Source organism: Homo sapiens, chromosome 11 (genome assembly GCF_000001405.40).
Source record: "Homo sapiens chromosome 11, GRCh38.p14 Primary Assembly".
NCBI lineage: Eukaryota > Metazoa > Chordata > Mammalia > Primates > Hominidae > Homo > Homo sapiens.
Genome location: NC_000011.10, coordinates 117232109 through 117246452, shown reverse-complemented (window position 1 = coordinate 117246452; position 14344 = coordinate 117232109). Strand labels below are relative to the sequence as shown.

At 45.4% G+C, this 14344-nt stretch overlaps 1 protein-coding gene across 3 annotated transcripts in view, besides 4 other annotated features; it reads right to left on the bottom strand.

Annotated features, from left to right (window-relative positions):
- The window catches only part of RNF214 (ring finger protein 214), a 53784-nt gene extending 40002 nt beyond the window's left edge, over positions 1-13782 (bottom strand). Inside the window, exons 1-5 of one of the 3 annotated variants that reach the window (NM_207343.4) lie at positions 13727-13782; positions 12074-12186; positions 7342-7852; positions 6593-6652; positions 1868-2008 (exon numbers count right to left, since the gene is read on the bottom strand). In NM_207343.4, coding sequence (NP_997226.2) covers positions 1868-2008; positions 6593-6652; positions 7342-7852; positions 12074-12180 — 819 coding nt within the window. In that variant the 5' untranslated portion in view covers positions 12181-12186; positions 13727-13782. The other 2 variants (NM_001077239.2, NM_001278249.2) reach the window with 2 other exon arrangements.
- Positions 7546-7840: a silencer, noted in NCBI's record as "tiled region #1788; HepG2 Repressive non-DNase unmatched - State 15:Elon, and K562 Repressive non-DNase unmatched - State 15:Elon". NCBI's record gives its function as "represses a minimal TATA promoter and a strong SV40 promoter by Sharpr-MPRA in HepG2 and K562 cells {active_cell/tissue: HepG2 | K562}" and the evidence as "EXISTENCE:reporter gene assay evidence [ECO:0000049][PMID:27701403]".
- Positions 10157-10658: an enhancer, noted in NCBI's record as "H3K4me1 hESC enhancer chr11:117106511-117107012 (GRCh37/hg19 assembly coordinates)". NCBI's record gives its function as "activates a minimal SCP1, AML or CMV promoter by ChIP-STARR-seq in primed H9 embryonic stem cells {active_cell/tissue: H9 hESC(primed)}" and the evidence as "EXISTENCE:reporter gene assay evidence [ECO:0000049][PMID:30033119]".
- Positions 13643-13982: a silencer, noted in NCBI's record as "silent region_3935". NCBI's record gives its function as "represses an Ori minimal core promoter by ATAC-STARR-seq in GM12878 lymphoblastoid cells {active_cell/tissue: GM12878}" and the evidence as "EXISTENCE:reporter gene assay evidence [ECO:0000049][PMID:35858748]".
- Positions 14193-14342: a silencer, noted in NCBI's record as "silent region_3934". NCBI's record gives its function as "represses an Ori minimal core promoter by ATAC-STARR-seq in GM12878 lymphoblastoid cells {active_cell/tissue: GM12878}" and the evidence as "EXISTENCE:reporter gene assay evidence [ECO:0000049][PMID:35858748]".

The window sequence follows — 14344 nt, the reverse complement described above, 5'->3', positions numbered from 1 at the left end:
GGTCTGTTACATCCAACAAATATTGTCTTGTTTCATTTTGTTGTGATTCTACTTTATTATGTATGGGTTTTGTTTGTTTTACTCTTTAACAACAACAAATACATACATATATACACACACACATATACACACAGATATACATATGTACAAACGCACACTTTTTTTTTTTTTTAAATAAGAAGTCAAACAGGCCAGGCACAGTAGCTCATGCCTATAATCCTTGTACTTTGGGAACCCAAGGCAGGAGGATCACTGTGTCCGGGAGTTCGAGTCCAGCCTAGGCAACATACAGAGATCTTGTCTCACAAAAAATAAAAAAAATTAGCCAGGTGTGGTGGCACATGCCTGTAGTCCAGATACTCGAGAGGCTGAGGTGGAAGGATAGCTCGAGCCCAGAAAGTCAAAGATACGGTGAGCCTTGATTGTACCCACTACACTCCAGTCTGGGCAACAAAACAAGATCCAGTATCAAAAAAAAAGTAAAATAATACAAAGGTGATAAAGAGTCACTCCCCCACTTCATACCACTTCCACCCATAAGAGTAATCAATGTGTTAACTGCTTTGTATTATGCTTTCACATCTTTCTCTATGCTCACACAAAGACATGTATACTTAGGTATGCATTTCTTTGTTGTTGTTGTTGTTGTTATTTTTAAATGGGGTCATTTTACATACATTATTTTGCATTCTGATTTCTTTTACTTGACATGAATGTATTGTCAATAAGTATCGATCTAATTCAAAAATAGCTGCATAACATATGGATGTATCTAATTTATCCGAACATTCTTTATTAAAAGTCTATGAGTGGTCTGGCGCAGTGGCTCACGCCTGTAATCCCAGCACTTTGGGGGGCCGAGGCAGGTGGATCATGAGGTCAGGAGATCGAGACCATCCTGGCTAACATGGTGAAACCCCGTCTCTATTAAAAAAAATACAAAAAATTAGCCGGGCGTAGTGGCGGGCGCCTGTAGTCCCAGCTACTTGGGAGGCTGAGGCAGGAGAATGGCGTGAATCCAGGAGGCGGAGCTTGCAGTGAGCCGAGATTGTGCCATTGCACTCCAGCCTGGGTGACAGAGCGAGACTCCGTCTCAAAAAAAAAAAAAAGTCTATGAGTATTAATACTTTTTTTGAGACAGGGTATCGTTCTGTCACTCAGGCTGGAGTGCAGTGGCACAATTTCGGCTCACTGCAACCTCTGCCTCCTGGGTTTAAGCGATCCTCCCACCTCAGCCTCCCATGTAGCTGGGACCACAGGTGCACACCACCACGCCCGGCTCATTTTTTGTATTTTTGGTAAAGATGGGATTTTGCCATGTTGCCCAGGCTGGTTCGAACTCCTGGACCCAACTGATCCACCCGCCTCAACCTCTCAAAGTGTTGGGATTACAGGTGTGAGCCACCACACCCCGCCTTGCCTTTTTATTTCAATTAACTCAAAAATAAAATTAAAGTTTGAGCCGGGCATGGATGGCTCAAACTTTAATTTTATTTTTGAGTTAACTGAAATAAAAAGGCCTCCTTTCGGAGGCCAAGGCGGGTGGATTTCTTGAGTCTGGAGTTCAAGACCAGCCTGGGCAACATGACAAAACCCCGTCTCTACCAAAAATACAAAAAATGAGCCAGGCATAGTGGCACACACCTGTGTTCCCAGCTACTTGGGAGGCTGAGGTGGGAAGATCACTTAAGCCCAGGAGACAGAGGCTGCAGTGAGCCAAGATTATGCTACCACATTCCAGCCTGAGTGACAGAGTGAGACTCTGTCTCAAAAATAAATAAATAAATAAATAAAGTTTTTTAAAAAATTAAAGTTTGATCAGAGACTGTTGCTTAACTCATTGACAATTTCAATATAAGCAAAATACCTGGTGATTCTTCATTTCCTCTTCTCTCCTTTGCTGAAGCTGCTTTAATTGCACTTGGAGCTGATTCTCCACTTGCCTCTGTTTGTCCAGGACCTCCTGGTAACGCTCTTTCAACAGGGTTCTCTCTGTCATCATTTTATCCTATTATGAACAAGACAAGAAAAGCTTATTTCCTAATTTAATCACAAGAAACATTCACCAGTGCCTGTCCAAGGCATTGTATAGAGCTCTATGACCGCACTATCCAATAATGAAGCTACTCTACTAGCCATATGTGGCTATATTCAGTAAAATATGATGAGATTGGCTGGGGATGGTGGCTCACACCTATAACTGTAGTACTTTGGGAGGCTGAGGCGGGCGGATCACTTGCATTCAGGGATTCGAGACCAGCTTGGGCAACATGGCAAAACCTGGACTCTAAAAAAATACAAAAATTAGCTGGGCATGCCAGTACTCCACTGTAGTCCCAGCTACTTGGGAGGCTGAGGTGGGATGATCGCTTGAGCCTGGGAGGCAGAGGTTACAGTGAGCTGAGATCGTGCCACTGCACTTTAGCCTAGGCGACAGAGCAAGACTCTGTCTCAAAAAAGCGTCCGGGAACATGATTCCTTACTGGTTAACAACACTGAAAACTGATGGATCCACTAAAGAGGCCTGGGAACCTGGTATTCAGACTGAACAACTCAGCAAGCTTTCATATAAAGTCGGGATTAGAAGAGAGACTCCTAGGCAAGGCACGGTGGCTCCAGCCTATAATCTCAGCTTTGAGGGGCCAAGGCAGGAAGACTGCTTGAGGCCAGAAGCTGAAGACCAGCCTGGGCAACATAGTAATACCTGGTCTCTACCAAAAAATAACAATAATAAATAAATAAATAGAAGTGCTTCTGAAAACAGTTTAGCTCTGCCACCCCCATGTCAGTAAATCAAGAAAATCAATGGTTACCTTTCAAAGGGACACTAAAATTTGAAGAGGGTCAACTTAAAACACATTTAGTATGAAGTAGCCCATATAATATTTAAACTGAGAGCACTAAACTGAATTTTTTCATTAAATAATAACCATTTTCAAAGAAAAAAAATTTTTAAAACAAATGAGGAAAATATCCTATTATAATCATTTTAACAAAAGGCTCTCAAGGCTGGGCGCAGTGGCTCACGCCTGTAATCCCAGCACTTTGGGAAGCTGAGGCGGGTGGATCACTTGAGGTCAGCAGTTCGAGACCAGCCTGGCCAACACAGTGCAATCCCATCTCTACTAAAAATACAAAATTAGCCAGGCATGGTGGCACATGCCTGTAATCCCAGCTACTTGGGAGGCTGAGGCAGGAGAATCACTTGAACCTGGTAGGCAGAGGTTGCAGTGAGCAGAGACTGTGCCCCTGCAGTCCAGACTGGGTGACAGAGCGAGACTCCGTCTCAAAATAAATAAATAAATTAATTAATTAATTAATAAAAAAGGCTCTCAAGATAGGACCTTGGCTTTGGGACAAGCTAATCTTTAGTCCATGTACTGAAATGTGACTAATGTGTCCCAAACAGCTGATTACTCAGCATCACACCTTTCCAGGGATTCTGAACCTGGCTTCTACAGGTGGACCCCGGAATCTTTGAACTCTCTGCAACTGATGAATGTATATATTTTTCTGAGATAAGAATTCAAAGTTTCCAAAAGATTCTGAAAGAGGATCTTAACCAAAGAAAAGTTGAAACCAGTAGATTATTCTTTTCTGAGACAGAGTCTCACTCTGTCGCCCAGGCTAGAGTGCAGTGGTGCAATCTCGGCTTACGGCAACCTCCGCCTCCCGAGTTCAAGCAATTCTCTCTGCCTCAGCCTCCAGAGTAGTTGGGATTACAGGCACCCGCCACCACGTTCGGCTAATTTTTGTATTTTTAGGAGAGATGGGGTTTTGCCATGTTGGCCAGGCTGGTCTTGAACTCCTGACTTCAGGTGATACCCCTGCCTTGGCCTCTCAAAGTGCTGAGATTACAGGTGTGAGCCACTGCACCCGGCCTCACTGCCTTTTTAAAAGCATGTGGACCTCACTACCACCCAAAAGATAGAGCCAAACAAAACTCAACCCTGGGCCTCTTCTGGCCCAGTAACTTGCTGGGTTTCCATTCGTTCCTGTTTCATCTACTTGACTGTTACAATTAAGTCCCAAGTTGCTAGTCTCTATTTTAAAACTTTTCTTGGCTTCATCTGGTTAATGTACACCAGTAACTTTTTTCCGTATGCCCTTCAATTTCTTCAACTTGCACCAAATATCCACTCTCTTATCTGGTTGCTACAAGCACTTTCCCTTTTTATACCACTCTTTATAAATTAACATATCTTACCCTAAAGACCTCTTCCTGGGGTGCCTTTCCCAGCATTACCTTCCCTTTAAAAAGTGTACATTTAGATATCCATATACTTAAAGGTGGAAGTTTTAGCCACAAAAGGCCAGGGATGGATCAAAGGGAGCATTTTAACAAAGGTAAGTGTGACGTTCTCTTCAAAAGCCAACTATCTGGGGATAAAATTAAAAAGACACAAGTAAATAATACATGAAAAAAAGACTGGATGGAATTTGACTAAAAGCTTAACAGTATGAAAAAACTGCCAAAATAAGTCAATGTAAGCTTAAGAAATAGTGTCTAGAATGAGAGATACTGAGAGATCCCACTGTATTATAAAGTAATTATACTGTATCTGTACTATTATATATGGTTCTCAAGATCACTTTTTAAAACAAATATTGATAAAATAGAACATGTCTAAGTGAAAGTAACCAGAATGATGATAAAGAAATGGAAAATAGTATCAAAATAGTATCAAAAAGAATACTAAAAACATCTGAGGATGTTTCACCTGGAAAGGTTTGAACTTGGGGAGTAAGAGAATAAGAGCAGGAGGCATAAAAAAACTTCAAATATACACATGGCTAACAAGCAGGAAAGGAACTGGATTTATTCCATAAAGCTCAAGAGAAAGCTACAATAAGAACTTTTTTTTTTTTTTTTTGAGACAGATTCTCACTCTGTCACCAGGCTGGAGTGCAGTGGTGCAATCTCAGCTTACTGCAACCTCTACCTCCCGGGTTCAAGCAATTCTCCTGCCTCACCCTCCTGAGTAGCTAGGACTAGAGGCATGCGCCACCACACCCAGCTAATTTTTGTATTTTTAGTAGAGATGGGGTTTCACCATATTGGCCAGGATGGGCTCAATCTCTTGACCTCGTGATCTACCCGCCTCGGCCTCCCAAAGTGCTAGGATTACAAGCATGAGCCACTGTGCCCGGCCTAAAGCAAGAAGCTCACTGCCACCTCAGCCTCCTGGGTTCAAGCAATTCTTCTACCTCAACCTCCCAAGTAGCTGGGATTACAGGCTAATTTTTGTTTTTTTGTTGTTGTTTGTTTGTTTTTGAGAGAGTCTCACTCTGTCACCCAGGCTGGAGTGCAGTGGTACGATCTCGGGTCACTGCAATCTCTGCCTCCCAGGTTCAAGCTAATCTCATGCCTCAGCCACCCAAGTAGCTGGGATTACAGGCACACGCCACCACACCTGGCTAATTTTTTGTATTTTTAGTAGAGATGGGGTTTCGCCATGTTGCCCAGGCTGGTCTCGAACTCCTGCGCTCAGGCAATCTGCCTGCCTCAGCCTCCCAAAGCGCTAGGATTACAGACGTGAGCCACCGTGGCTGGTCTAAATTTTTGTATTTTTAGTAGGGACGAGGTTTCACCATGTTAGTCAGGCTGGTCTCAAACTCCTGACCTCAGGTGATCCACCCGCCTCAGCCTCTGAAAGTGCTAGGATTACAGGCGTGAGTCACCGCGCCCGGCCTGAAGCAAGAAGTTATAAGGTTTTTATCTTCATCTCAGAACAAAATCTAATAAGAGGTTTCATTTTTGTTTTTTGAGATGGAGCTTCTCTGTTGTCCAGGCTGGGGTGCAGTGGTGCAATCTTGGCTCACTGCAACCTCTGCCTCCTGGGTTCAAGCCATTCTCCTGCCTCAGCCTCCCGAGTAGCTGGGATTACAGGCACACACCACCACGCCCGGCTAATTTTTGTATTTTTAGTAGAGATGGGGTTTCACCACGTTGGCCAGCTTGGTCTCAAACTCTCAACCTCAGGTGATCCACCTGCCTTGGCCTCCCAAAGTGCTGGGATTACAGGCGTGAGCCACTGTGCCCGGCCTTTTTTTTTTTTTTTTTTTTTAATTTTTTTTGAGACAGGGTCTCACTCTGTCACCCAGGCTGCAGTACAATCGCACAATCACGGCTCACACAGCCTCGACCTCCTTGGCTCAGGTGAACAGGTGATCCTCCCACCTGTCTCCTGAGTAGCTAGGACTCCTGAGTAGCTAGGACTATAGGCATGCACCACCACACCTGGCTAATTTTTGTATTTTTTGTAGACATGGTGTTTCACTGTGTTGCCCAGGCTGGTCTCAAACTCCAGGGCTCAAGCGATCCACCCACTTCGGCTTCCCAAAATGTTAGGATTATGGGTGTGAGCCACTGTGCCTGGCCAATAAGAGCTATTTTTTTTTTTAAACGTAACTGGTTGCTTTGTGAGGTAGTAAGCTTCCCATCTTTGGAAGTGATCAAGGAAAAGTCACCTGACCATCTGTCAGGAATTTTATGAAAGGGACTCCTGCACCTTTTCCAACTGAGATGATATGCCTCTAGATCTTCTATTTGATAATGGCTTCATATAACAAGGACAGTTTAAATACTTACCAAATTCTTTTCAATATCTTGATCTGTGTTTACCTCTGAATCAGCTGTCTTAAAGTCAGTCTATAAAGGAAAAAAGTTATATTTAGAATCGTTCAGAGACACTTTAAAAGAGGCAGAATCACTAACACCTAGAATTCCGCCACAGGTAACTAACTTTTTACTCTTTCCCCTTACCAGCTTCCAAGCAAGCTAAGCAATGTAGTTCTGGCAAACGGACACCAACATCCACGCTGCATTAATCATCGGTCCCACAAAATAACCCAAACAAGACCCAATGACTGACTGAGAGAAAGCCTCAAGTCTGAGATGAGACGTCTGCCCTCTACAGTCTGTTGTGCCCATACTTTCTCCTACAACAAAGCACACCCGTCACTAGAAGGCAGGATACACTGTACTTCTTAAGATGTGACTCAGAGAATTAACAAGGATTCTTCCTGCAAGGTCAAAGATGATAAATATGAATGCTAATGTCCTGCACTCATCAGTTACTCAGTGAAAGAGACTACACGTAGGTCATAAAGTTCCTACTTGCCATAAGATTAGACAATGGCTACTGGCTTTCTTATTTACTGAACATCAGAATGAAGTCATTGTATGGCACTGTATGAGAGTAGTATGATGGTTGCTAGCAAAAAAAACAAAAAACAAAACAAGCCAGCAAGTTCTCCACCAAATATGAAGAAATATCTCCCACCCTGAACCCCACCACCCCCCAATTACATTTTAGTAGTAGAAACTTGACACTTGACCTGTACAGCAATGTTCTGAGAAAGCTTCAGGGAAGAGCTATCTTGATCATCATCCTGATCCACTCGGACTCCTTCAACCCCATTTGCTGGAGACACTACAGGTCGGAAATCCAAGCTTGTGTCCCTGTTACCTTCCTTTAGGATGGAGGTTTGTGGGGATTTCTCTTCAGAGCAATTCCTGGAGGCAAGCTGCTTAGTATGGCACCCTGCCTTAAGAGACCGAGTGACTGGATGGAGGCTCTCCCGAAGGCTTGTGTCCCCCTCCTCTCCTGCTGTGCTGGCCACATCCTTCAAATCAGACTGAGACCCACTGCCAGAAAGACAAAGGGCTGTGGCTATCAAGTTTTCTCCTAAAACCACCTGGTGCGCTGCTGAGGTGTCACCTGCTGATGAACCAGGATTCTGCTCTGAGTGCTCCAAATGGACATTTCTGTTATTCTCCTTGGTTATTGTTTGGCTACTTACACTCAACAGAGGCGAGTTCTTCTGCTTCTGTGCAGAGTCTTTGGTGCTATCAAACACACAAGATAAAAAGAAAAGTATATAATACTTTCAACCTAACTACTAGAAGAACAAAACTAGACTACGTAAACCCTCCCGACTATCATAATGAAAGAACTTAGTTTCAATCCAATGATTTCTATCCTGTATGCAGGTAGTATAGCCTGGTGGTTAAGACCTAGTTTTTTGTTTTTGGTTTTGTTTTTAGAGAGGTTCTAAACTCTGTCACCCAAGCTAGAGTGCAGTGCCGCCATCAAGGCTCACTACAGTCTCAACATCCTTGGCTCAAGCAATCCTCCACCTCAGACTTGTGAGTAACTAGGACTACAGGCACATGCCACTACGCCCAGCTAATTTTTTGTATTTTTTGCACGGTTTTGCCATGTTGCCCAGGCTGGTCTCGAACTCCTGTACTCAAGGGATCCATCTGCCTGCCTCAGCCTCCCAAAGTGTTGGAATTATAGGCGTGAGCTGGCCAAAAACCTGGGTTCTACAGTAAATGGCCAAACATAAATGATTCTGAAGATCCAAATAATTTTTGAGTGCCAATTTTAATAACTTTTGGGGATACCGATGAATTAGCCTAATACTAGTTAGAATATTTAATTTAGTTACATGTATTAATTTAGTTATACATAATATTATAATCAAATATTAACTTAGAAGTATTGTTTTTATTCCTCTCTCACCTTTCACAGGAATAATTTTCATTCAAACTCATTATACAGATCTTTGACCAGAACCACTTTTTAGGTTCTTCAACAGTTTTCCAGAGTATAGAACCTACACTTTAAGTTGTCTAAAGTACAATTTTGAATCCAAAATTGAAGCTGTCAATAGAAATTTTATCCCACACAGTAAGTATACATATGCTTAACATTAGGATATTCTGTCACTTGTCACAGCCATTCAAGGTATTGCTTTTATTTTTTATTTATTTATTTATTTTTTGAGACAGGGTTTCACTTTGTCACCCAGGCTGAAGTGAGGTACTGCTTTTTAAAGGGGACTTTAAAACATATTTACAATGACATCCAACATTCACAATTGCACATCTTTCACCCAGGAATTACGCCTATGTTTAATTTCTTTGACCCCACCCTCTTTTTTTAAACTAATTCTATAACTGACACTCTTAACCATACCCAACTAGCAATGGGGATTCAAGTTGATGCGTCTTTGTTTCCTCAGTCGTACTAGTTCAAAATAAAACAACTGAAAGAATATCTCGCTGGGGAGCAATGGCTCATGCCTGTAATCCCAACACTTTGGGAGGTCAAGGCAGGAGGATCATTTGAGGTCAGGAGTTCAAGACTAGCCTGGGAAACATAGCAAGACCCTCTCTCTACATAAAAATTTAAAAATTAGCCAAGTGTAGTGGCGTGCACCTGTAGCTTCAGTTACTTGGGAGGCTGAAGTGAGAGGACTGCTTAAGCCCAGGAGGTGGAGGCTGCAGTAGGCCATGATCGCACCACTGTACTCCAGCCTGGATGACAGATGGAGACCCTGTCTCAATAATATTAATAAAAACACTCGAAGCTGATTCCTTCCTGCTGGGAGTTAACTGTGAGCGGGTGCTTAATTAAAAATTCAGGCATATACAGTACCTGAGTTTGAATCCTGACTCCGCCCACCATTTACAAGCTGTTTGACTCTCGGCAAGTTACCTCATTTGTAAAACAGAAATAATACTATCCACCTAACAAGACTGTTGTGAGGATTACATGAGATAATGCACATAAAGTACTCAGTACAGTGCCTGGCACATAGTAAACATTCAATAAACCTTAGCTGCCATTATTACTAGTGTATGAAGTTGATTTTATTTATCAAAACTCTGACTCCAACATAGCTTGGAAACCTTGGGCAAATTACTAACCTCTCTGTGTCTCAGTTTCCTCACCGGTAAATGCGAATAATATTATCACTACCTCCTGGGACTGTTGTGAAGATTAAATGTGTTACCACGTATGGAACTGTAGTTAAGTGTTAGCTACTGTATTAGGGGACCCAGGTACACTGGAAAAGAGTTGAGGGACGGCCAGGTGCGGTGGCTCATGCCTGTAATCCCAACACTTTGGGAGGCTGAGGCGGGCGGATCACAAGGTCGGAAGATCGAGACCATCCTGGACAACATGGTGAAACTCTGCCTCTACTAAAATACAAAAAATTAGCCGGGTGTGGTGGCGGGCGCCTGTTGTCCCAGCTACTCAGGAGGCTTAGGCAGGAGAATCGCTTGAACTCGGGAGGCAGAGGTTGCAGTGAGCGGAAATCGCGCCACTGCACTCCAGCCTGGGTGACGGAGCAAGATGCCATCTCAAGAACAAAAAAAAAACAAAAAAATTGACGGAGCTAGGTGCAGTGGCTCATCCCTGTAATTCCAGCACTTTGGGAGGCCAAGACGGACAGATCACTTGAGGTCAGGAGTTCAAGACCAGTCTGGTCAACATGGTGAAACCCGGTCTCCACTAAAAATACAAAAATTAGCCGGGCTACCAAGCAGGTGCCTATAATCCCAGCTACTAGGGAGGCTGAGGCAGGAGAATCACTTGAACCCGGGAGGCAGAGGTCGCAGTGAGCCAAGATCGCACCACTGCACTCCAGTCTGGGGGACAGGGCAAGAGTCTCTCTCAAAAAAAAAACAGAGTTGAGGAAGAATACACAGTCAGCCTCTTTATGTAGAATGTGGTCCACATTCATGGACTCAACCAACCATGGACTGAAAATATTCAAAAGGATAAACGTTTGTGATGATGGACATGCTAATTACCCTGATCTGATCACTATACATCACATACACCACAACATCACTATGTACCCCCATGAATACGTACAATTATCGTGTCCATTTTTTAAAATATAAAAATAAATCACTGAAAAGTAAAATACCCAGTCTGGCCAACGTGGCAAAACCCCGTTTCTACTCAAATACAAAAATTAGCCAGGCGTGGTGCTGGGCGGCTGTAATCCTAGCTACTTGGGAGGCTGAGGTAAGGGAATCCAGGAGACGTTTGAACCCAGGAGACGGAGGTTGCAGTGAGCTGGGTTCACGCCATTGCACTCCAGTCTGGGCGACAGAGCGAGACTCCATCTCAAAAAAAAAAAAAAAAAAAAAGGCTGGGCGTGGTGACTCACGCCTGTAATCCCAGCACTTTGGGAGGCCGAGGCAGGCGGATCACGAGGTCAGGAGATCGAGACCATCCTGGCTAACACAGTGAAACCCCGTTTCTACTAAAAATACAAAAAATTAGCCGGGCGTAGTGGCGGGCGCCTGTAGTCCCAGCTACTGGGGAGGCTGAGGCAGGAGAACGGCATAAACCCGGGAGGCAGAGCTTGCAGTGAGCCGAGATCGCGCCACTGCACTCCAGCCTGGGCCAACAGAGTGAGACTCCATCTCAAAAAAAGAAAAGTGAAATAGATTTGAAACCATTAAAAAAATTTTCAGAAAAAAATTGGATGGTTGCATCTGTACTGAACATGTACAAACTTTTTTACCTGTCATTATTCCTTAAACAACACAACTATTTACATAACATTTACATTGTATTAGTTGTTGTAAATAACCTATTGTTTAAAGTATATGGGAGGACATGCATAGGTTATATGCAAATACTACACCACTTTATTTATTTTTTATCTTTTTAATAGCTTTAAGTAGGGTGGGCATATGCCTATCCCAGATAAAATACTACACCATTTTATGTAAGGGACTTGAGCATTTATAGATTTTGGTATCCTCAGTAGGGGTCCTGGAACCAATCTCCAGCATATACTGTGGGATGACTATATAGCTAATTTAGTTCAACACTGTACATAACAATGTATCATATTAGCTACTATGAGATATAAGTTTGGGTAATTGTGTATCTGTATGTATACATATTTAGATATCCATGTACACATACTGATATAACATTTCTCATATATAACATATAAACATATGGTTAAATGAACATACAGTCCACGTAGGAAAGGGCTGGAAAATGTTTGCATTTTTTAATGAGTTTGACCCCATGTATTCTATTCTATTTATTCCCCAAACATTTAGCATGCCTGCTGAGTATCAGGTGCTGTGTTGGATACCAGAAATACAAAGATAGATCAGACAGTCCTGTACCTTTAAAAAGCTAGTGCAGTGCCATCAGAGCCAAAAAGAAAGACCAGCTACACAAGACCATCTCAAAAACCCTTTACCCAAATGAATCTTCCCAGTCAGGAGTCCACACATTACCTTAGACCATCTGGGAGACCTTCGTCTGATTTGGAAGCACATAAACTAGAAGATTCCGGAGGACTGGGGGCATTGGCCACAACACCAGCAACCTCAGACGCTGCCATTATGCTCTGTACATTCAGAAACAAATTACAGGCTACAAGTTTCCAAAGTTTAAAACAAATGTATCTCTCCCCCCTCAGAATGTCCACACAACAGAGCTGTCGCAGTAAAGAAACACAAAAACCTGGGCTCCGGGAGAAAATACTTAAGAGTACTAAAAGAGACATTGTATGCAAAGTCCTAGTGTCCTAGTGGGCAGCAATCCTCAGGAGTCACTGTATTTACATAAATATCTAGGAGTCTGTGCAAAGATCTTATTTTCACTTTTGGCAGAAATGTAGTCATTTCAAACAATACATCTTAGTCTGCCAGGATCTTCCAAGTGGTCCCAGGCCTACCTTGTCTGCTATCATTTTTAATAAAAGACGTACTTTTCGGCCTAGTATCAATCAGATCTCATGTTTTTAAATCACTTTATGGCTGTTACATTCAAAGCATTCTCCATTAATTTAAGGGAAGTTTTTGGAGGTGTCTGCCTGTAAGTCAACAAGTAATGCAATACTGGGCAATCCAGGGTGCATATTTTACTGTCAGCGTGCTCCCCACAGATGGGAAAGGCCTGATACCCACTAACTGAGCAAAGAACAGACTCTTCAGAGTGACTAGTGGTGCAAAAAAGAATCCTGGGTTCTCTAGCGTGAAAAAGTCAAGGTAAAAAACATGGTAACACAAGTAAGGGAACTGGGACGGACGCCTTTTTTAAAAATCAAAAGGTCATCTTTTATGCCGCAGAGCAAACTTATGACCTTATGAGGAGAAAAGAAAATCAAAATACTTGGGAGGTGGGGATGAACATCGGGTTAGTTTGCATTCTTGCTTTTATTTTAACAGCATCACACGTATTCCCCCCCGGAACACTGAAGAGCGCATAGGGCAGATAGGTAGATGGGGCTGTGTCAACACCTCAGTCACAGCCCACAGACCCTCTGTGCCTCAGTTTCCCTCATTATACAAAGCTCCTGGGAGAAAATGGGCCCAAACCGCCATTGCTGCTCCCTCAGGTGCAAACATCCCGTCTCCAACATAGCCCAGGGCTGGGGGGTCCTCTGCGCCCGGTGAACGAAACCCCAGGACAAGGGCCATGCATGCAACTCCGTGGCTAGAGAGCCCGTGGCGCGGGTAGGAACAGCTGGCTGGAGGGTCGAGTGTACCAAAAAGAACTCCGCAACCCGGGGCGACCACCAGCGAAGCAGGGGCGCCGGAGCCACGGGTCCTCGGGCGAGAACAGGGGACAGACGGGAAGGGGACAATGGGGGGAAGCGGCGCTGGGTGGCCTTGGCCACCCCCCACAGGGGACTGCTAGGCTGGCCGCTGGCTCGGACCAGACCCCCCTCCACCCCTTCCCCTCGGTCCCCCCACCCCGCTGCCAGCCACCCCCCCGTCCCACTTCTAGGCCGGGACCCCCGCCTCGGTTCTCACAGCACCCTCCACGCCCCCCACCCGACCCCCATGCCCGGCCCTCGCCCCGCAACCCCCACCCACGCTCGCCCCGCACACACCTCCCGCGCCGCGCCCCCGGGAGGAAAGTGGGGGAGGGACGGGACGCACCTGAGCGGGCGGAGCGGGGGGAGGGGGCGGCCGAGCCACGGGGGGAGGGGTCGAGCGCCGGCCCGCGCGCGGCACCTCCCACTTCCGGCGGCACGAGCGGAGGGGGCGAGGCTCCGGCCGCGAGAGGAGAGGCCGCGGTGGCGCCGCGCCGCCCCCGACGGCGCCCTCTGGCGGCGACAGCTGGCGCCGCCGGGGCACGGGGATGCTGCGGGAGACCCCTGAGATACAAGTGGACTCTCCCGGGGCGCGGGGAAGAAGGGAGAGCCGACTGCGAGAAGGAAGGCGACCTGGGTGGGCAGGATCCCCTCTGGGAAGATTACAGGGACAGTCGGGGCCATGGCGGTCAGAAGGAGAAGAGCAACGAGTGGCTTTTAAAGGTCGGAACCGAAATGCCCTTTACAGAGGACGCCATGAAGGAGAGCCTTCTGAAGAGGGACCATGTGGAAGATGCCCCGAGGACTCGGGGAGGCGGAGCCCGCGGGTTCAGCCCCCAGCGCCCGCACGGCCCCTGCCTGCGTAGGCCGCCCGCGGGAGCCGGACCCCGGGCGCCGGTTGCTGTGGCCCGCGGGGGTCGCCGGGCCGCAGGCGCCGCGCTGATTGGCTGCGCCGCGGGCGGAA